The following is a 23,492-nucleotide window of genomic DNA, read 5'->3' as shown; positions in this document are numbered from 1 at the left end:
TATTTAATCACACAAAGGTATACTGACAGAACATTTTTTATGGTTTGATTTTTTAATTTAACACATGAGAAGTTTTCTTTCTAGTTAATTAGCCCTTGAAAACTTAACTTTAATGATTATGTGATAGTCCATAAAAATGAATATACTTTATTTTTTACCCATTTCAATAGTATTGAATATGTTGTTTTCAGTTTTTTATGAATATAAATATTGACACACTATATATATCTCCGTGCTTATTTCTGACTCTCTTCAAATAAATTCAAGTAAGTGGATTACTGCATCAAAGAATAAGGATATTTATAAGATTCTTAATTTGCATTGCCAAATTGTTTTCAAAAAGAATGATCCAATGTATATACACACGAGCAGTGTATTAGAATTCTAAACATTTTACCATTTAGCAAATAAATATTAGGAATACAGTTTCCCTGTTGAATATCAGTTATTTTTACATTAGAGCCTAAAAATGTTTTATATGTGAGATATGGAAATATTACAAAAATTATAAACCAAGTTTGTGTAATTGGAACACCATAGCTATTTCTTACTAAAAGTAACTATTTAAAATAGTTTTGAGATAACTCAAAAGATTAATGCTGTTTATTTTTATTAAGTTGAGATTTCTACATATTACATTTTATTACAATAAAGTACACTTTTGTTCCTCTTTGTTCCAAAGTCTGTGACATTACTGTAGCTAATGTTGATATTGATCAGATCACTTCCTCTGTGTCAAGCCTTATGCTATGTGTTTTACATGTATTGGCTCATTTAATCCCCTCAACGATCCTAAGAAATGTGTTAATTATTACTATCACTGTTTAACAGATGAGGACGACATTGAAGTTGAGAGAGGTAATTGTGCCAACTGAGGGCCATCTTAATGTACAATTCCAGACATGCCATTGACCTTGTGGTCTTTGTGTGAACAGTATCTCCTGGAGATGTGCAGTGCACAGCTGGTGCAACTGTACATGGCAGCCCTAAACTGCTAACAAATGATGGAGTCTCTCCTTCAAACCAGATCTGTTTGACTTGAGCTTTTAGTCAAATGAAATATTGCTCCTGAAAGTCATGATTGAATCCATATAGGATTGTGTTCAGTACCAGAGAATCAAAGAGTTATAGATGATATGAAGATAAATATCATATCACGTTATATATTGAGTCCTAAGTGATTCTATTAACAATAATTCTATTACTGTATTAAAGACTTCTAGAAACAAGTAACATAACATTTTGATTAAGCCCAAGAACTTGAAAGAATAATCTCTGGAGGCTTTTTCCCCCTGGGTCTCAATACACGTATGCTATATTTTTCCAAAACCAGAAGAAATCTCACCGGATTGGTTTAGTAGATCCTTCTGGTCCATCCATCTCATAAGAGAAAACATTATCCCATTTAAATTGTAGGTTCCAATCAAAAGTTCCCCTTACAAGAGGAGAGGGCTTATACTCCAGAGTTCTATCATCAATGACATCTATCAGGGGGCACACCACCATTTTGGGGTCCTTGGCAATGGCATGCAGCAGGGGCTCCAGCCATACTCTGTTCACCTCACAGTGGCTGTCCAGGAACACCAGAACATCCCCTGGGGAGGCAAGAACAGGGCAATGTTAGTCCACATAGCTGAAAAAATACGGCAATCCAAATCAAAGTTCAATGTGATGAATATTTCTTGAGCATTTACTATGTGTTTGGCTCTTACAGTGCTTTCATTTTCATTGGAAGGAAACAAGAAATACATTATTATGTACAAAAATATGCAACATCATGTGCCATAGATGTTGAGGGGAAGCCAGTAATTGTGGGTTAGAGAGTGGTTTTGGGGAGAATTCTAAAGGAGCAGGTGGAACTGAACTGGATTTCCATTTTAAAAAATGATTTTAGCTTGGTCTTGACTGATCAGCTTAAATTTAGCAAATTTTTACTGAAAGGACACCTTCTTAGGCATTGAGTTTGGTGCATGGGATGCAGACATGCATCACGACTTTTGCTCTTGAGTTCAAGTTTTTTTTTTTTTCTGAGATGGAGTCTTGTTCTATCACCCAGGCTGGAGTGCAGTGGCATGATATTGGCTCACTGCAACATCCGCCTCCCGGGTTCAAGCAATTCTCCTGCCTCAGCCTCCCAAGTAGCTGGGATTACAGGTGCCTGCCAACATGCCAGGCTAATTTTTGTATTTTTAGTAGAGACGGGGTTTCACCGTGTTGGCCAGGCTGGTCTCGAGCTCCTGACCTCAGGTGATCCGCCCACCTCAGCCTTTGAGTTCAAGCTTCAGTGGGGACCTATTCTGCTTAGAGGACATGGGAATAATTGGCATGGTTAAAGTAGAGAAAGTGTATTATTGAAGTACACCAGGGGCTTGATGTAGAAGGAACCCCAAACTTCAAGTAGCAGAGTTTAGACTTTTTCTTGTAGCCAGTGTAAAATCATTAGAAAGGTATAAAAAAATCTCATGTTTTGATCAGAAGACTTAATATGGCAATAACCCCCATACTAATCTACAGATTTAGTGCAATCCCTATTGCAATCCCAGCTGGCTCTTTTTAAAGAAATTGATCCTAAAAGTCATATGAAAAGGCAATGGACCTAGATTAGCCAAAATAATTTTGAAAAAGAAAAATAAGGTTGAAGGGCTTTCTGATTTCAAGGGTTACTACAAAGTGATAATAATCAAAACAGTGTGCCATTGGTGTAAGGATAGACACAGAAACCAGAAATAAACCATGTGTCTATGGTCAATTGATTTTTGACAAGGGCCAAGACAATTCAATGGAGAAAGTATAGTCTTTTCAATAAATTGTGCTGAGGCAACGGAATATCCACATGCAAAAGAATGAAGTTAGACCCCTACCTCATATCATACTAAAAATCAAATCAAATGGGTCATAGACCTAAGGTAAGAGCTAAAATTATAAAACTCAGAAGGAAACATAAGCATATATTTATGACCTTAGGTGAGGCAATGGTTTCTTAGATATGACACCAAAAATACAGGGGACATAAGAAAAAACATATACGTTGGAATTCATCAAAAGCAAAAACTTTTGTGCTTAAAAGACACAATCGAGAAAATGAAAAAAAAAAAATGGCTGGTGCGGTGGCTTATGCCTGTAATCCCAGCACTTTGGGAGGCTGAGGGGGGTGGATCACCTGAGGTCAGGAGTTCAAGACCAGCCTGGCCAACATAGCGAAACCCCGTCTCTATTAAAAATACAAAAAAAAAAAATTAGCCAGGTGTGGTGGTGGGTGCCTGTAATCCCAGCTACTTAGGAGGCTGAGGCAGGAGAATCACTTGACCCCAGGAGGCGGAGGTTGCAGTGAGCCAAGATCGTGCCACTGCACTCCAGCCTGGGTGACAGAGCAAGACTCTGTCAAAAAAAAAAAAAAGAAAGAAAAAAAAGAAAAGAAAAGAAAAAGAAACAAAGAAAGAGAAAAAAATCCACAAAATGGGGGAAAGTATTTCCAAATCATACATATACTAAAGGACTTGTATGAGAATATATAAATAATTCTTACAAGTTAGTAATAAAAAGACAACCTGATTTAAAATGCGCAAGAGATTTGAATAGACATCTTTGCAAAGACGTATAAATGGCTGATGAGCATGTGAAAAGATGTTCAACACCATTAGTCATCAGAAAAACGTTAATAAAAATCACAGTGAGGTATCCCTTTACATCCACTAGGACGGCAAGAATGAAAAAGACAGACAATAGCAAGTGTTGGGGAGGTGGTGGAGAAATTGAAACACTTGTCCAGTGCTGTTGGGAATGATGGGTGGGAGGGGAGGAGTACAGAGAACAGGAAAGTTCTCTCTTGCCTGAAGGGCACTCTCTGGGCTGAGTTCTCTGAGGGTGTGTGGCTGGCAATAGCAACTTTGAGGACCTCCCTTCTCATCCCTGGTGGTCTCTGGTCAGCAGTTCCCACAAACTGGGCAAGTGCATTCTATTCTGGTGACTCAATCTGTCTTCTCAGCTCCTTAAGATCCTGTGTTCTGTCTCCAGCTTCTCTGCTGAGGCCTGTCCATTCTTCTAGATAGTCCTACCGGACACCATCTAAGATGATCCCTATAGCTCTCTCTCCAACACTGCCAAAGCAAACTCTGCCATAAATACAGCTACTAATCTAAAAGCAAGTGTCCTTTGTTCTACAGCTGGTCACAGTCTTTTTATCCTTTTGATTTTCGGCAGAAAACTAACATTAGTTCACTTCTCCTCAATCCCAATATATTTCCAATTTTATTGTATTGATGTCTGAGAATGTGCTGAATTCATATCAAGTCTCTCTCACCAGGCTTTGAGCAGTAGCTTTCTCCAAAAATCTCCTTTAATCTCTAACAACATGACTCAATCTGGCTGAGCCATCTCATTGGTTCTCAGATCTCTATTTTGAAATATCTTTATCGTGGTCAGTCTAACAACTCACTTTGGAATATTACAGCTATGATTTTCATGCCTCAACCAAAACTGAGCTAACAAGAGTCCCATTTTTAACACATATGTTTTCATACTATTGGCAGCACACACACAGCTTTATACTTCACATTTTTCACCTAAAATAGCTTCTATAATATTACGTAACATTATTAGCATTTTAAAATCATGTCTGCTCATTTGATAGGTGAAAAATAACATCTGGTTCTCCTAAGAAGATGTACGAATGGCTAGCAAGCACACAAACAGATGCGAAACATCATGTCATTAGGAAAACACAAATCAAAACCAACGTGAAGAACCACTTCACTTCCACTAGGATGACGAGAACTTAAAAAATGAAAAATAAGTTTTGGCAGGGATATGGAGAAATTTGAACTCTTACACATTGCTGGTGGGAGTGTAAATGGTGCAGCCACTGAAGAAAAGAGCTTGGCAGCTCCTCAAAAAATTAAACCTGGAATTACCATAAGACCCAGCAATTCTATTCCTAGGAACATGCCCAAAAGAATTCAAACAAATGTATATATGTGCATGGTCACAGCAGTACTGTTGACAACAGCCAAAAGAGGGAAACAGCCCAAATGCCCATCAATGGATGAATGGAGAAACAAACTGTGGTGTATCACAGAATGGAATATTATTCAACCATAAAAAAGGAAGCACTGACACATCCACCATGTGGATGAACCTCAAAAATATACTAAGTGAAAGAAGCCCGACACAAAAAGTTACATATTGTATGATTCCGTTGATATGAAATATCTAGAAAGAGACAGAACACAGATAGGTGGTTGCCAGAGACTGGAGGGAAGGAAGCTGCTTAATGGCTAAAAGACTTTCTTTTCAGGTAATGAAAATGTTTTGGAGTTAGAGGTCATGGCTGTACAACATTGTGAAGGTGCGAAATGCTACTTAATTGTTCATTTTTAAATGATCAGTTTTATGTTAATCGTGCCTCAATTTTAAAAAATCTGGTTAATTTTTTTTTAATCGCTGGTGAGGTTGAATTTTCCACATGATTAGCCATTTGTAAATGAAATTGTCGTGTACTTTGCCTATCGGAGTAGTTTTGTTTTTTGTTTTTTTTTTTTTAGATAGAGTCTCGCTCTGTCACCCAGGCTGGAGTGCAGTAGCATGATCTCAGCTCACTGCAACATTCACCTCCTGGCTTCAAGCAATTGTCCTGCTTCAGCCTCCCAAGTAGCTGGGATTACAGGCACCTGCCAACATGTCCAGCTAATTTTTGTATTTTTAGTGGAGATGGGGTTTCACCGTGTTGGCCAGGCTGGTCTCAAACTTCTGACTTCAAATGATCTACCTGCCTCAGCCTTCCAAAGTGCTGGGATTATGGGCGTGAGCCACCATGCCCAGCTTGGAGTTGTATTTTTAATGGATTTTAAATGTACATTTTACATACTAAAAATATTAACTTTTAGTCCTGTTACATTTCCCCAGCCTACTGTTATTTAATTTTATTATTTTTTATTTGCAGCAATTTTACATTTTTTTGTTAAAAAAATAGACTTTTTTTTAGCACCTTTTCCATTGGTTTTAAGCTTTGAAATTTCTTTATTCATAAAACAGGCAAGTATTAATCTATGTTTTTATATTTTTAAATTATCCCTTAAGAAGTTTGATGATGATGATGTTTTTACAGAGACAGTCTCACTCTGTTGCCCAGGCTGGAGTGGAGTGGTGCTATTATAGCTCACTATAACCTCCAACTCCTGGACTCAAGCGATCCTCTTGCCTCAGCCTCCTGAGTAGCTTAGGACTACAGGTGTGCACCAACACACTCGCCTACTTTTTTTAATAAAAATTTTTGTAGAGATGGTGTCTCACTGTGTTGTCAGGCTGGTCTTAGAACTCCTGGCCTCAAGCAATCCTCTTGCCTTGGCCTCCTAAAGCGCTAGGATTACAAGCATGAGCCACCACACCTGGCTATGGTTTGATTTTTTAAAATAAAATTAACATTAATCCAGTTATAATTTATTTGGGTTATGGTATGAAATAAAGACCTAAAATTTTCCCAAATGGCTAATTGTTTAAGTGGCATTAAACAACAACTGCAACAAAAACATTTTAAAAGTCTTTTTTCCCATACAGATTTGTGGTATCTCTTTACTGTATACAGTGTACACTTGTACCCTTAATATTGAAAGATTTAAATATTTGCAACTTTGAGGATTCTAATGACCCAGAAAGACCATAAATGCAATATTAAAAATTGCAAAATAATTTAAAATTATACTTTATGCAAAATTAATATGGGGTATTACTGAATTTTGATTTAAGTTAAAAACGTGGGAACAGGCCACCTAGCACCTACATTTCAATGAGGTTTTATTTTCACTCATCATAAAATATTTAACAGGGGAAATTTACATCCTGTAAGGAGAGCAAAGTAGTAGTGAGGGTCCCTCTTCAGCTGATTTCTCTCCTTCACAGGAATATTTTGTGGAAACCTAAAGTTTGGTGCTAGGAAAGGACGGTTGCTCTACTTCTGCTGCCTTCGAGAGTTTCGGGAAGGACCGTGCTATTTATTGGTTTTAGAGATGGCCTATCATTCATGTGCTAGATGACCTATCAGACATTCATCAGATTCTCTTTAGTGCTTGTGATGAGTAAAGGGCGTGAGGTCAAGCCTGCCTGATAGAGGAATTCTTCCCCTACTTGCTTCCAAAGAGTATTTGTGGAAATATTCTAAACAATTCCATTGCTCCCTAAAGTTTGGAGTTGGGAGCTACGTCCTCCATCTTACCCTGTGTAGAAGCTTATTTTCTGCTCTCCTGTCGTAGTCTATTTGCACCATTTCTCTAGGGATTGTGGATTGCAACGTTTGTTAACTTGTTTTTTGAAAAGCAACAAATAGCGTATGTATCAATTTCACAGTATTTCCTGTTTTTCTCTGTTTTGTATTTATTTTCGTTCTTTGGTTAGTGTCCACATTTTCACCCTTAAACGTAACTCATTATATATAATTTATTTTACATCACATTAAAATTCTCAGTTTGGTCTCTACAACCAAGCATTTTTAAAATCTTAAAAATATTTTTTCTTTTTTTTTTACCTACACGTTATGTTATTGCTGTATCTTGTTTTAATTTGTTTTGTGAGATGAGGTTGTGATGTGTTGCTCTGTCTAGAGCACAGTGGCATAGTCATAGCTCACTGTAACCTTGAGCTCCTGGGCTCGAGCGATCCTCCTGCCTCGCCCTCCCAAATAAATAGGATTACAGGCACGGGCCACCACGCCTAGCTTATTTTTATTTGTTCATTTATTTCTGTAGAAATGAGGTCTTCTCATGTTTCCCAGGCTGGTCTCAAACTCCTGGCCTCAAGCAATCCTCCCGCCTCAGCCTCCCAAAGCACTGGGATTACAGGCGTGAGCCACGGCACCCAGCCTGTTATTGCTGTATCTTTCCAATTTTTTGGTATTGATGTTCAAGAATGTGGTGTGCAAGGGGAACATCACACTCTGGGGACTGTTGTGGGGTGGGGGGAGTGGGGAGGGATAGCATTAGGAGACATACCTAATGCTAAATGATGAGTTAATGGGTGCAGCACACCAGCATGGCACATGTATACATATGTAACTAACCTGCACATTGTGCACATGTACCCTAAAACTTAAAGTATAATAATAATAAAATAAAATTAAAAAAAAAGAATGTGGTGTGCAAAATCTGTGTCAGGGTATTTACAGAGAATCTGTGCTTAAGCGTATGACCAGTTTTTGTAAAATACATAAGCATTTCTATTTAACTCACTATAAATCTGTTAAACCTAGCCATCTGGATTTTGTAAAAAGAAATCGAAGCAACTATACTATTAAATATCCCAAATTTTGTTTGTAAGCTACATCCTCATAATCTGGTGGTGGGATGATGCTGTCTACTGAGATGGCATCAGAATTCCTGGGTTTGAGCCTGGAGTAACGTGACCTAGAGCCAGTCTCTAATCTTTCGGGAGCTTAGCTTCTTTAACTGGGATAAAAGGCTGATGAGTTCTAAAACCTCTGAGAGCCTTTCCACCATTAATATTTTGTATTTTATTATTTTTACCCTGTATTTCTTTTACTTTTATGTATTTCATCATTTTGAAGGATAAAATTCAATGTTTATGTTTTAATTATTTATTTGTCCTAATTGCTGTATAATAAGCATTTATTTAGTACATAATGCCAAAAAAAATGTAGGTGATGTCCTTATCTGATCATTGTAACAGCCATGTTAGTTCGATAGCATCATTCCCATATTTGGATTATCAGGCTGAGGCTCAGAAGAGTGACTTGTCTAATTCTCCCTGGAAGACACTGTTTCCCTGCAATGTTGCTGATAGAAGAAAAAAAAACTCCTTCTCTCAAACTGCATGAACCCCACATCCAGAAGCAACACTAGCATTTCATCACTATCCATGGTTTAATCATCACCCATGTTTGCCTCCAAATCATGACACTTCCGCTCCCATGCAAAAAAAAAAAAAAAAAAAAAAAAAAAAAAAAAAAAAAAAAATTCATACCAACTGATCGTAGATTTCTTTAGATTCAAGCCATCTGATTGCAACATTCTCTTTCTTCTTCACTTTGCAAAACCCCTGCCTTCTCCTCCTCTGCGGGGTTATCCATCTGCCTGCATCTCAGGCGGTTTCCTTCATGCCCTGCAGGTACGGCACAGCATTCACCGCAGGCTGCCCACCTCAGCTCCTGCAACCTGTGGGAGACTTCAACAGCCACGTGGACAGCACCACCGGCCCAGAGAAATGGACAGATAGTGATGAGAATTATGAAGAGAAAGAAATGGGGGAGGCCGGGCGCGGTGGCTCACGCCTGTAATCCCAGCACTTTGGGAGGCCGAGGCGGGCGGATCACGAGGTCAGGAGATCGAGACCATCCTGGCTAACACGGTGAAACCCCGTCTCTACTAAAAAATACAAAAAATTAGCCGGGCGTGGTGGTAGGCACCTGTAGTCCCAGCTGCTCGGGAGCTGAGGCAGGAGAATGGTGTGAACCCGGGAGGCGGAGCTTGCAGTGAGCCGAGATCGCGCCACTGCACTCCAGCCTGGGGGACAGAACGAGACTCTGTCAAAAAAAAAAAAAAATTGGGGGTAAGGGTGATGATAGAGAGGGATAGGAGTCTGCTATTTAATATGGGGTGGTTTGAAAGACTATGGTGATAAAGTGGCATTTGATCAGAGAACTGAACAAAGTAAGATAACAGGTCATGCAGATGCCTGAGAGAAGAACGTTCCAGGGGAAGCCAATCACGGGCAGAGGCTCTGAGACGGGATGAGGCTTGGCAGGCTGGGAGAGAAGCAGGAAGGCCCGTGCAGCTGGTGGGTGGGTGAGGGAGGAAGGAAGGGAAAGGTCAGGGAAAGCAGGGAGCACATCACGGCAGGCCCTACTGGAGAGACAGCGTCGCTTTGTAATAATGCAAATAGCTCCCAGGAAGATGACCTGGCTCCAAAGGAGTGTGCGCACATGAACATCACGTGAAAACCCGTCTCCAGGCTCAGTAGGTACAGTTTGCATCTCAATAGAGTTGATAAAAAAGAAAAAAAGAAAAGAATAAATGTGCATGGGTAGCACACAGTCGGCAAGAGATAAGTTAAGGAAGGGCCGCTGGCTGCTGCCTCACCTGCCCACACAACAGGATCCCATACTTGTGACTCAGGAGCACGCCTGGCTCAGGCAGCCACCTACATCACTTGGGGGTGTAGGGAACAGACAGGCTGAGAGATGGCAAGTGCTGGCAAAGGGCCAGGAGAAGTAGGTGCACACATCCACAGTCATAGCTGAAGGTTTCAGTACAACTCTAAGAAACTTAGAAATGAAGTCGAATTCCATCATCAAAGATATGAACAAAATTATACATATATACACACACACAGAACCTACAACCATAAAGAAAAAATATACATTCTTTGAAAATACACATAGAAGAGCCATGTGTGGTGGCTCATGCCTGTAATCCCAGCACTTTGAGAGGTTAAGATGGGAGAATATTGCTTGAGACCAGGAGTTTGAGACCAGCCTGGGCAGGACAGTGAGACCACATCTCTACCAAAAATTAAAAAAATAGGCCAGGTGTGGTGACTCCTGCTTGCAATTCCAACATTTGAGAGGCTAAGGTGGGAGGATCACTTGACCCCAGGAGTTCGAGGCTGCAGTGAGCTTCGATACTCCACTGCACTCCAGCGTGGGTGACAGAGAGAGATCCTGTCTCAGAAAGAAAAAAAGTATAAAATACACATAGACATTGTGAAAAACTGACCTAGCTTAAGCCACAACAGAAATTTCAAATTTCTGACCACAATACAGTTTAGTAATAAATAATTAACAAATAATTTTTAAAATCTCTGAAAATCGTTTGGAAACTTTCAAAATCACTCCTAAAAAAAAGAAGACAATGTGGATTAAAGAGGAAATCAAAAAAGACACCAGTGCCTGTGCAGTTTATTGGCCAGTTCTCTGCAAGTTCCCACACACAGTCAATCTCTGTCTTATGTAAATTTTTAGAAAAAAAGAAAAACCATACAATTTGTTCTATGAGTCTGGTAAAGTGAAAAGTATAAGAACACAGTACAAACAAAGAAAATCATAAACGCATCTTCCTTTTTTTTTTTTTTTTGAGACATGGTCTCACTCTGTTGCCCAGGCTGGAGTGCAATGGCATGATCTTGGCTCACTGCAGCCTCCACCTCCTGGGTTCAAGCAATTCTCCTGCCTCAGCCTCCTGAGTAGCTATGGATGCATGTGCCACCATACCTGGCTAGTTTTTGTATTTTTAGTGGAGATGGGGGTTCTCCCTGTTGGTCAGACCAGTCTCGAACTCCCGACCTCAGGTGATCCGCCCGCCTCGGCCTCTCAAAGTGCGGGGATTCTAGGCATGAGCCATCGTGTCCAGTCCGCATCTTACTTTTGAACACAGATGCGATGCGTGTGCGTGGGGTGAGAAGGGGCGGAGAGCACGTGTGTGAAGTGGGTGTTGTGAGATATTTACATCTACACCTAGTGACTCTAGGGGAGCATTTCTATGGGTATTATGTGGGTTTGAAAATTTTCAAAATAAAAAAAATAAGACTCCCCTTTTAAACAAAAACAATCCAGACCGTAGTGCTACGGGTTGAACTGTGTTCCCCAAAACGATATTTTCAAGTCCTAACCCAGGAACCTCAAAATGTGTCTTTATCTGGAAACAGAGTCTTTGCAGATGCAATGAGGTCATACCAGGGTAGAGCGAGCCCTTCATTCAATGTGACTGGAGTCCTTCTGAGATTCGGTTGGGGGAGACAAAGACACAGACACAGACACACAGGGAGGACGCCTGTGAACAGAGAGGCGGAGCCGAGGGTGACGCCGCTGCAGCCCGGGACTGGCAGCCACGGCCAGAAGCTGAAGAGGCAGGGAAGGAGCCTCCCCTGCAGGTCTCAGAAGGAGTGAGGTCCTGCTCACACCTTGATTTTGGACTTCTGGCCTCTAGAACTGGGAAAAAATGAATTTCTGTTGTTTTAAGCCACCTGTTTGTGCTACTTCATTATAACAGTCCTAGGAAACTAATACACATCAACATAGTAACTAAATGATAAGTCAGAATTATTCCCATGAAAGTCAAAAGCAGAAAGGATGCCTGCTGCCGCCACTTCTAATCAACATTAGAGGTAGAAGGAAAATTACCTTCAGGTGATAGAAAATGCAAGCGACTCTACCCACCAACCACTAACGACTAAGAGTTTACTGAGGTTTCTATTTACAAGATCAAATATACCAAAAGATCTCATTCCTATGTACCAGTAATAATTTAAAAATATAACAAGAAGGTCCCAAATCACAATTTTTAAAACAACAACCAAAAAATCAAGATAAACAGAAATAAATCTTTGCACATAATATCTATAGAGCAAATGACAAAACACCAAATGAATATAAAAGCAGATCTGAATAAATGTCCATGGGTGGGGACATTTATCATCAAAAATATGTAAATTCTTTCCCATTTTAATCTATCATCTCTATACAATTCCAGTGAAAATCTCAACACGTTTTTCCTGGAACTTGATAAGACAATCCTAGCTAAGACACTTGCAGAATGAAGTGGAAAGATTTGTCCTACAAATCTTCTTATCAAGAAAATAAGAAGATATAAAAACTTCTTATCAAGCTGTACTAATCAAGAGACAGCGTGATTAGCCTAGAAATACAAAAATACCATCATAGAGCAGAAGAGAGATGCTGGAAATAGACCCAGGAATACATAGACATTTGATAAAATGATAAAAATAGCATTGCAACCAATGAAGAAATGGTGGACTATTCAATGAACGGTGTGGGAAAACTGGCTATTCATTCTGAAAAAAATTACATTACATTCTTAATTTACACCGTTTGCAGAACAAACAGTTCCAGGTAGACTCAAAGTTTAATGTAAAAATCAATTTTTTTTTACATGAGGAAGAAACTAAAGAAGAGTATCAGGCCGTGCGCAGTGGCTCACGCCTGTAATCCCGGCACTATGAGGCTGAGGCAGGCGGATCACCTGAGGTCGGGAACTTGAGACCAGCCTGACCAACATGGCGAAACCCCGTCTCTACTAAAAATACAAAAACTAGCCGGGTGTGGTGGTGGGTGCTTGTAATCCCAACTACTTGGGAGGCTGAGGCAGGAGAATCACTTGAACCCGGGAGGCTGAGGTTGCAGTGAGCCGAGATGACGCCATTGCACTCCAGCCTGGGCGACAGAGCGAGACTCCATCTCAACAACAACAAACAACAACAACAACAAAAAGAACAGTATCATCATGATCGCAGGGTAAGGAAGAATTTTTTTGAACAGGAGACAAAACCCAAAAATCATAAAGGAAAAATATTGATATGTTTGTTTTTTATTATGTTAAAGCTAGCTACTATTATAATAATAAGATTCCAAAATGATAATGGCTCAAATGCAATGGAAGTTTATTTCTACGCATTTAGCCATCCAAGGCGGGTGCTCCTGATTGAGGGAAGCCCTCCATGTGGTCATTCAGGGATGCAGGCTGGCGGAGGCTCTTCAACCCAGAGCCTCCAAAGTCACTTAGTCATCTTGGCCCCAGTCAGCCAGAACAGGAAATGAGTGTGGAGGGGACAGACCAGCTTCCTAAGAGCCTTGGTCGGGAAATGGTACATGTTACTTGCACTCACATCCCATGGCTAAAACTTAGTCACAAGGCTATTCCTATTGAAGAGAGGCTAGGAAGTTCAGTCTAGCCCTGTGCCCAGCAAGAGAAAGTGGGCTTTTTTTTTTTTGAGATGGAGTCTCGCTCTGTCGCCCAGGCTGGAGTGCAGTGGCGCAATCTCGGCTCACTGCAAGCTCCGCCTCCCGGGTTCACGCCATTCTCCTGCCTCAGCCTCCCGAGTAGCTGGGACTACAGGCGCCCGCCACCACGCCCGGCTAATATTTTTGTATTTTTAGTAGAGAAGGGGTTTCACTGTGTTAGCCAGTGAAGTGGGCTTTCTGGTGAACTTAAAGACTTAAAAATTTCTAGCCAGGCACAATGGCTCATGCCTGTAATCCCAACACTTCAGGAGGCCGAGGCAGGTAGACCACTTGAGGCCAAGAGTTCGAGACTAGCCTGGCCAATATGGTGAAACCCCTTCTGTACTAAAAATACAAAATATTAGCTGGGTGAGGTGGCAGGCACCTGTAATCCCAGCTACTCAGGAGGCTGAGGCACAAAAATCACTTGAACCCAGGAGGCGAAGGTTGCAGTGAGCCGAGATTGTGCCACTGCACTCCAGCCTGGGCAACAGAGTGAGACCCTATCTCAAAATAAATAAATAAATAAAATTCTGCTCAACACAAGACAACCCCAGAGGAGAAGAAAAGATAGGCTCTAGCCTGAGGACCGATATTCTCAGTGTTCATAATATAGAATTTCTGTTATAAGGCCATGTTTGAATCAATAACAAAAAGACAAACAACACATTAGAAACATTGGCAAAGAATATGAACAGATAAATCGACAGAAAAATGATCTGTAAGCAATCTATGAAAATATGAAAAAATTTGATGGCTGGTAATACCAAGAAAAGAAAAGGTAGCCTATTTTTTGGCCAACTGTGGCAAACATTAAAAAGACGGGCCATATTCATCTCTGGCTGCAGAGAAAGGGCAATTTATCTGTGTGATGAGATTGTTAATTGGTGAAACTTTTCAAGGACAATTTGGCATTATCTTTCAAAATTTAAAATAAAAATTCCCTTATTCCCAGCAATTCCACTTTTAGGAATTTATCTTACAGGCACAATCAATCACACAAAGATATATGTTCATGAATTGTAACTGCTGCATTTTTTAGGTAATAGTAAAAAAGAAAAATAACCTATTCAGAAATGGCTAAACAAGTTATGAAAATCAATTATAAAATCCATATGGGCTGAGCACAGTGGCTCACACTTGTAATCTCAACACTTTGGGAGGCCGAGGTGGGCGGATCATTTGAGGTCAGGAGTTAGAGACCAGTTTGGCCAACATGGCGAAACCCCGTCTCTACTAAAAATACAAAAAAATTAGCTGGGTGTGGTGGCGCCCACCTATAATCCCAGCTCTTGGGGGAGGCTGAGGCAGGAGAATCACTTAAACCTGGGAGATGGAGGTTGCAGTGAGCTGAGATCACACCACTGCACTCCATCCTGGGTGACAGAGCGAGACTGTCTAAAAAAAAAAAAGAGAAAAAATAAAATCCATATGAAATATCATACAACACAGCAATTCAAAACTGAAGTAACTCTTAAGTACTGTCATGGGAAAAGTTCCAAAAATTAAAAATAAACGAGTAAGTCTCAGGACAGTACAGACAGTATGATTCCATGTATTTAAAAATCCCAGGCCAGTCGTGGTGGCTCACGACAGTAATCTCAGCACTGTGGGAAGCCGAGGTGGGCAGATCACTTGAGGCCAGGAGTTAAAGAGCAGCCTGGCCAACATGGCAAAACCCCGTCTCTACTAGAAGTACAAAAATTAGCCGGCATGGTGGCGGGCACCTGTAATCCCAGCTACTTGAGAGGCTGAGGCAGGAGAATTGCTTGAGCCCAGTGGGAGGAGGTTACAGATTGTGCCATTGCACTCCAGCCTGGGTGACAGAGGGAAACTGTCTCAAAAAAAAAAAAAAGTAAAATAAATAAAAATCCTTAACCCTGTGTATACACACGTGCATATATATGTATATATCTATAAATGCATAAAAACGCGGGTCTGAAAAGATGCTCTCCATATTGTGTTTGGTTTCTCTTGGGTTTTGGACAATGAACATGTATTATCTTTGCAGTTAAATAAGAGAATGTGTCCACCGACCAGGGCAACATGGAAAAAGAGAGTCCAATTTTGTTTTTTTTCTTTTGTCCTTCCATTCCTTAAGGAGGTGTTTCCTGCTAAGGAGCAGGGACATTTCATCAGCTTGCAATGCAGCCTGAGGAATGCCCTTACAAATGATTCGCCTCCCGTGGTTCCAGCTCAGCGTTCTGCCAACATTCCCCTACATGCGGCAGGAGGCGTGATCGTAGGAGGCCTGGGCTCTCTATCAAGCTGCTCAGATGCTCCTGGGACTCAGCCGCCCAGCAGCGTTGACAGCCAATGGTTCACAACAAAGTCCCTCCCCAGAAACTGCCCTTGGCCAGCCATGGCTACCAAGGTCATACCTGCCCCCAGGGGAGGGCAGTGTTCATATCCAATGACTGGTCCATGCCTGGTCCCCTTACCTGGAACTGGGATCCCTCTGAATGGCTCTTGGGGCAGCCCTGGGAGTGTGCTGCTCGGATGTCCCTTCACAAGAACCTGCTGCAGGGGACGGATTTGAGTGCTTCCCACTGCCAAAGTTTTCGGATCTACTGAAGCTCATGTCAAGGTCATGCCGTTCCCAGGGTGCTGCCACCCAATGACCAAGCACAGTGTGAGGGTGGTGGTTGGGAGGAAGTGGAGATGCGCCACCCGGTCCCATTGCAGGTCTCCCTAACGGGCAGCCTTTGCAATGGGGCTCCCCCTAGCCCACTGAGCCTTTCTGAGACCTGCACCTTGTCTGAAGCGCTTCAAGATAAACTTCCTTCCTTCTCTGTCCTCCTCCACGTGTGTCGGGTCAGAAGCATCAGCTCACACTTTTTCTTCTGTTCTCCTATCTCTTGCCCCATAAACTCTTTCTCTTATTTCATTGTGGGGTCCTGGCTTCAGAGGTCCCCGTGGATGAGCGCTGCAGCTCCCTCCCGCCCACCCCACCCCCAGTCTTGCTCTCCTCACTCTTGTGGCTCCCAGTGGGTCCCCTGTGGTTGAAACTCCATTTCAGAGTTTGTACTGGGGAACTCAGCCTGTGAGAGGGGCTGACATTAACGTCCCTGCGAAAGAATATCTTCAACCCAAAATAGCAAATTGACATTTCAAAGCAGAACACTTTCAGAGGCAAAAGAAGATTAAAGGCTCATATGGCTGGAATAGATTTCCACTCTTCTGATGAAGCAGACACAGACATAGAAGGTCTCCCTGCAGAGGAGTCCCGCTCAGAAGGGAAGATCTCTGTGACGCCGTCACTGGCTCTTGTCCCCAGGAATGTTCCTACCTGAAGCATGAGAAGCTCCAATCAGCCTTGCTCGAATCAGCCCCTCTCTCTTTTTGTTTCTTATTATTTTAACCTTTCCCCGAAAAGTTTCCAGGTGATAGTCTAGTTTTTCTTTCAAATCATCTGGAAAAATATTCAACACATGAGAATGTATAAACGGCAACTATAGAAATTGAAACAGTGTATCATCATTATGACGTATTCCTAAAATCCATGCTATTCCACAGAAGTTCTAACTTTAAAAGAGAATTTTGGGGCCAGGTGTGGTGTCTCATGCCTGTAATCCCAGCACTTTGGGAGGCCGAGGCAGGCAGATCACTTGAGGTCAGGAGTTCGAGACCAGCCTGGCCAACATGGTGAAAACCCCCTCTCTACTAAAAATACAAAAATTAGCCGGGCATAGTGGTGGGCGCCTGTAATCCCAGGTACTCGGGGCTGAGGCAAAAGAATCGCTTGAACCCGGGAGGCAGAGGTTGCAGTGAGCCGAGATGGCCCCATTGCACTCTAGCCTGGGCAACAAGAGCAAAACCCTATCTCAAAAAAAAAAAAAAAAAGATAGAATTTTTATCCCATTTAAGGGAGAGAAACACAAGTGATTCATTATCAAAATCAACTGTAAATATTTTTCTTTTTGTTTCGTTTTTGTTGAGACAGGGCCTCATTCTGTTACCAACGTTGGAGTGCAGTGGCATGATCATAGCTCACTGCAGCCTTGACCTCCCAGGATCAAGCAATCCTCGTGCCTCAATGTCCTGAGTAGCTGGGACTACAGGTATGCACCACAACACCTGGCTAATTTTTAAATATTTTGTAGCAATAGGGTCTTGCTACATTGCCCAGGCTGGTCTTGCACTCCTGGCCTCAAGGGATCCTCCCATCTTGGTCTCCCAAAGTTCTGGGATTATAGGCGTGAGCCACCACGCCTCGCCCTGTAAATATTATTCTATGGTTCTAGTGAAATAACTCTATTTTAGTAAATCACTATTAACATTTTAATAGAAAAACCATGCATTATAGAGCTTTGGCGCAATCTGGGTTTGCTACTATCTGTGCTTCTAATTTTTCAGTAGCTCTTGGGAAAGTTATCGAACCACGAGAGTCTTAGTTTCCTCAGCTGAGAGAAGGGATGACCATCATGTTCCCGGCAGTACTCTGGTATGAGGAAGAAGAAATATATCACCCAGCACAGAGCCTGGCACCCAATAGTCACTTAATATTTGGAAGTTAATACAATGATGATAAAGGAGGCTGGGACCAGGTGAGATGGATGCAGGTACCTCAGAGGTCTAAATTCCTAAGTCCCAGCAATCTGGGTCAGGGGCAGGTTGAACAGGAACAGGTTCATGGTAATCCCAGCAGAAGGAGGGATCTTCTTCCTTGTTTTTAGAAAGAGGCAGGGATACAGGCTGCATAGCTGCACTTGCAGGCCTGGGCAGCATCTCAGCTCAAAGATCTCCAGACACCTCACTCACATCCAGGATGTAGGAGGCAGCAAGAGGAGGGAAAAGTGGGACGCCATGAGCCAGGCCCTGGAGGAGATAAAGGCAGTTAAGGCAGCAGCAGTCACTGACATGAAGTGGAGGGTGTGGGTTTTTCAGAAGATGGTCATGTTGTTGGCTTGCAGTCTAGAGGGACCAGGACTATGGGAAAAGTGGATGGCAGCAGGTCATGGACAGGCCATTTGTGTAGCTCAGTGGGAGCAGTTCCCTGGGCCCCTGGCCCTGCTCCCCCAAGCTGAGGAGTCTATCGGCCATACCTATAGGTGTCAGCTGGGACAGACAGGGTTTTGTTGAAGAAATTGTCCTTAAACCCATGATGAAGTCACCGTGAATTAAAGGAGGAAGGTGTCAACCTGAGCTCCATCAGAGCCTAGAACACCCTAGTCCTGTGTTTAAGGCTCTGTGTGGGTCAAAGGCTCAGATAGAGGAGGAGAAGCAGAGGTGTCTGGTTGGGAAGCACACCCACATGTTGGCAGCAGCGACCCCCTAGTCTCTCATAAAGGGGACCACAATGTGTGATGAATGTATGAGAACGTTGACAGATCTTACGGCCGGTATGTTTGTGTCCCCACCAAAATTCAAAGTACCCCTCAGTATGATGGTATTTGCAGGTGGGGCCTTGCAGAGGCATAACTGGGTGATGGAGCTAGCTTGCTCTCTTTCCACAACATGAGGACATAGCAAAAAGATGGCTGTCTATCACCCAGGAAGAGGGCCCACTCTAAGAACTCGATCCTGCTGGCACCCTCATCTCGGACTTCCAACCTCCAGGACTCTAAGAAATAAATGTTTGTTGTTTAAGCCACCCAGTTTGTGGCATTTTGTTACAGCAGCCAAGCTGATAAGACACCAGTTACGTCTCCAAATTCATGGTGTGGTTCTGAAAGGCTGGGGGAGGTATCCGTCCCCTGGTCATTCCTGGCACTGTGTCTCCATGGCAGCATTCTTGTACTTCTGGGTGAGAAGTTAGAATTCCACAATCCATCAGGTTATCCCACCCTGTCCCCTGCTGGTGGCTTTCCCAGTGACTTCTTGCCCAGCAAGTCACCAAACATGCTGCTCAGTCTTTTGAGCAGAAGAGGCAGCGTGGGTCACAGGGGCAGCAGGGAAGCCAGGCCCTCACTCCACACTCTTCCCATGCACAAGGCTAGAAATAGACAGTCCTGTGCCCTCAGACATTGGTGACCCCCTTAGAAACAGTGTTATTTACGATAGGTGCCTGGCCAACATCTACATTTCCACCACACAACTGCCAGTGACTTGAGTCACATTCAGGAGTCACCTAGAGTCACTTCCCCGCAGGGTGAACCTCATGGGATGGTTTCTTCCTCTGCCTGTTCTTCCTACTGCTTCTCCTCATCTTTTTGTTTCTGAGCTCATAGTGGGTCACATTTAGAGTGGATTGGGTTGACTTTCAGCCTGAAACTTACTTAATATTGACATCATTGCTTTGGTACTCCTGGCTTGCCTAAGGTTTGTACTCCATTGTAAATTAGGTGAGTAATTTCCAATTCTAAGTGTAGTTAACTAGTGCTAGTATCACAATTCTTTAAAACCAGTAAGCATGAAAGAATACACACTTAACTGCAGTTGGTCTGATTCCGCTTCTTTCATGGAATTCCTAGATCATCTCATTTTCCTGCATTAAGCCCTTAATAGCTCCTCATAGCTTCAAGATAAAATTCAAATAATGCGCTTTATGAGCAGTTACCCCCCGTGCCCTGCTTTTTTTAAGTGATGGGGTTTTGCCATGTTGCCCAGGCTGCTCTGGAGCTCCTGAGCTCGAGGGATCTGCCCACCTTGGCCTCCCAAAGTGCTGGGATTGCAGGTGTGAGCCACCAGGCTGGGCTGGGAGTTCCCTTTTAATAACTCTGGTTTTGCCCACCTCCCCCCTGCAACTCTATACTCATGCATAGACTACATAAAATATGGTAGCATGTATTTCAAGCTCTCTATGGCTTCTCTTACCTCTGGGCCTTTACGATGCTGCTTAAGCTACCAAAAACACTTTTTCCTTCCTCTCCACCTAGATCATTACAACTCATCATTCAGACCTCAGTTGACATGTCACTTCTTCCTGAAGTTATCTCCAAGGATGTGGCCGGTGCCCCTATGTTTGCCTTATGGAAGCACCGCCCCTCCACCCCTCTGCCATGGGCCCAAGTACAGGGCCCAGGTCTCACATGTCCACCATATACCAAGAGCCCCTAGTGCAGTGCCTGCCCCAATACCCACCAAAAAGATTTTTTTGTACAAAATACTCAAGTGCCATCGGGGAGCGCACTACCTTCAGAGTAGATTAGATGGTCAGGCGTCGTGGCTCACACCTGTAATTCCAGCACTTTGGGAGGCTGAGGCGGACAGATCACTTGAGATCAGGAGTTCGAGACCAGCCTGACCAACATGGTGAAACCCCGTCTCTACTAAAAATACAAAAATTAGCCGGGCGTGGTGGCATGCACCTGTAATCCCAGCTGCACGGGAGGCTGAGGCAGGAGAATCGCTTGAACTCAGGAGGCAGAGGTTGCAGTGAGCCGAGATGGTACCACTGCACTCCAGCCTGGGTGACAGAGGGAAATCTCAACAACAACAACAACAAAGTAGATGAGATAATGAGTGTTCTATCTTACCAACTTTGCTCATGTCATCTACCAAAATAATTTCTTCAAGAAAATAGTGTGGCGTGAGGTTCGTGACACTGGACATGGTCTGAAACAAGGCATTACATTCTTCATTATAGAAGCAAATGACAATGCTGGCAGTCGGGAGGCGGGCTGGGTAATGTTTTTGAAGACACCTGCAGGCAGAAGCAATATGAAGAAAACCATCCATCTAAATGCCTTGGATGTTGTGTCATCTCGTTCAAACACTTCTCCTTATTTGCATCTTTTTGACTCTTTACTCCTTCAACTGATAATTATGGTAATAAGGTGACAGTACATCTAAAAACACAAAAATTTATTTAACTTCTTATGTTGTTCTAATATTTTCTGAATAATTTCCCCCTTCTTAATGTCAGTAATAATTGCTCTTTCCTGAGACTGTGTTGATAATCTCAGTTCTATTTTAAACATAGTATAAACACAAATTATATTCATGTATTAGCTTCTGTTATAAAAATGAATTAGTTTTATCTTTTTTTTTTTTTGCTGTCACCATGGCAGGACAGATAAAAATGAATTATTAAGCTCACACATTAAAAAGTGTACATTAACTTTATTGTGCTGTCTTCAGAGAAAACTCCAACTTTATTCTTATATTTGTGGAGTCTGTCGCAACAAAAAAGTATAGCAGATATGGTCTAATTGGATTTCTTCTGAATATTTGACAAAAATGCTTTATTTCATTTTTATTTATTCATTCTTTTTGAGATGGAGTTTCACTCTTGTTGCCCAGGCTGGAGTGTAATGGTGTCATCTTGGCTCACTGCAACCTCTGCCTCCTGGGTTCAAGCGATTCTCCTGCCTCAGCCTCCCGAGTAGCTGGGATTACAGGCATGCACCACCATGCCTGGCTAATTTTTTATGTTTTTAGTAGAGACAGTGTTTCACCATGTTGGCCAGGCTGGTCTTGAGCTCCCGACCTCAGGTGATCCACCTGCCTCAGCCTCCCAAAGTGTTGGGATTACAGGCATGAGCCAATGTCCCTGGCCCCAGAATACTTTATTTTTTTGTGTGTGTGCATATGAGGGAAATATAGAAGCTGAATTCTGGAATTCTAGTAATATTAGTTATTAATTATTATTTAGATATATTATTTAGTTGTATACTGAAATATTTTGGTTGTAAATTAAAGAAATCTGCTGGAGCTAACTTTAGCAAAAGAAAAGGAGCTGTGGCTGGCACAGTGGCTCATGTCTGTAATCCTGGCACTTTGGGAGGCTGAGGTGGGTGAATCACATGAGGTCAGGAGTTCGAGACCAGCCTGGACAACATGGCAAAATTCTGTCTTTACTAAAAATACAAAAATTAGCCAGATGTGGTGGCACGCACTCGTAGTTCCAGCTACTTAGGAGGCTAAGGCAGAGAATATTTTGAACCTGGGAGAGAGAAGTTGTAGTGAGCCAAGACCATACCACTGCATCCAAAAAAAAAAAAAAAAGAAAGAAAGAAGAGGGGGAGGGAGGGAGGGAGAGAGAGAGAGAGAAAGGGAGGAAGGAAGGAAGGAAGGAAGGAGGGAAGGAAGGAAGGAGGGAAGGAAGGAAGGAAGGAAGGAAGGAAGGAAGGAAGGAAGGAAGGGAAGAGAGATGTATTGTGAGCTGACTCAAATGTCTCACAGGACCTAGAAGCTGCAGCAGCTGGAGCCTCAAGGAATGATTAGAACTAGAGGCTTGAATGATGTCTGGACACTCTCTATCTCTGCTTTTGTGTTTACATTTGGGAAAAATAATAATAGCGATATCAACCTACCTCCAAGGGCTGTGAAGATGCAATGAATTAACATGCCTACAACACTTAGAGCAGTGCCTGGCACGCAGTAAGTATTCAGATAGAAGGCGCATTACATGATTATGATTCTTCCTCTGCACCTGGGCTTTTTCCACTTCTTTAGTGGGAAATGTGATTGACATCAGCATTTCTTATAGGCAAGGACCCAAGGAGAAACTGGTGGGACTTTACCTTTTCCAAGATCAAATATTGACTGGAAAAGATTCACTGGCCCAGCTTGCCATAGGTGCCCCATCCCTGGGTTAATCAACTGGGGCCAGAAAATTGAGTTGAAATAAAAAAATCATTGTGGCCGGGCGCGGTGGCTCAAGCCTGTAATCCCAGCACTTTGGGAGGCTGAGGAGGGCGGATCACGAGGTCAGGAGATCGAGACCATCCTGGCTAACACGGTGAAACCCCGTCTCTACTAAAAATACAAAAATTTAGCCGGGCGCAGTGGCGGGTGCCTGTAGTCCCAGCTACTTGGGAGGCTGAGGCAGGAGAATGGCGTGAACCCAGGAGGCGGAGCTTGCAGTGAG

The 23,492-nt window shown here is 42.5% G+C and overlaps 1 protein-coding gene across 10 annotated transcripts in view, besides 1 other annotated feature; it reads right to left on the bottom strand.

The window, feature by feature from the left end:
* Nucleotides 1-23,492, bottom strand: part of GALNTL5 (polypeptide N-acetylgalactosaminyltransferase like 5) — a 63,484-nt gene that overhangs the window by 15,621 nt on the left and 24,371 nt on the right. For 5 of the 10 annotated variants that reach the window (XM_006715862.5, NM_145292.4, XM_017011793.3 and 2 more), the window contains 3 exons: nt 21,157-21,323; nt 17,028-17,150; nt 1,346-1,595 (listed from right to left, as the gene is read on the bottom strand). In XM_006715862.5, the coding sequence (XP_006715925.1) occupies nt 1,346-1,595; nt 17,028-17,150; nt 21,157-21,323 (540 nt within the window). Of the gene's footprint in view, nt 1-1,345; nt 1,596-8,967; nt 9,106-17,027; nt 17,151-18,310; nt 18,557-21,156; nt 21,469-23,492 lie in introns of those variants that run through there. The other 5 variants (NR_033169.2, XM_011515853.3, XM_047419933.1 and 2 more) reach the window with 4 other exon arrangements.
* Nucleotides 15,661-16,189: an enhancer, noted in NCBI's record as "H3K27ac-H3K4me1 hESC enhancer chr7:151685205-151685733 (GRCh37/hg19 assembly coordinates)". NCBI's record gives its function as "activates a minimal SCP1, AML or CMV promoter by ChIP-STARR-seq in primed H9 embryonic stem cells {active_cell/tissue: H9 hESC(primed)}" and the evidence as "EXISTENCE:reporter gene assay evidence [ECO:0000049][PMID:30033119]".

The sequence above is a fragment of the Homo sapiens genome, chromosome 7, assembly GCF_000001405.40.
Source record: "Homo sapiens chromosome 7, GRCh38.p14 Primary Assembly".
In the NCBI taxonomy this organism is placed as follows: Eukaryota; Metazoa; Chordata; class Mammalia; order Primates; family Hominidae; genus Homo; species Homo sapiens.
This window is presented reverse-complemented; position numbering and strand designations above follow the sequence as displayed.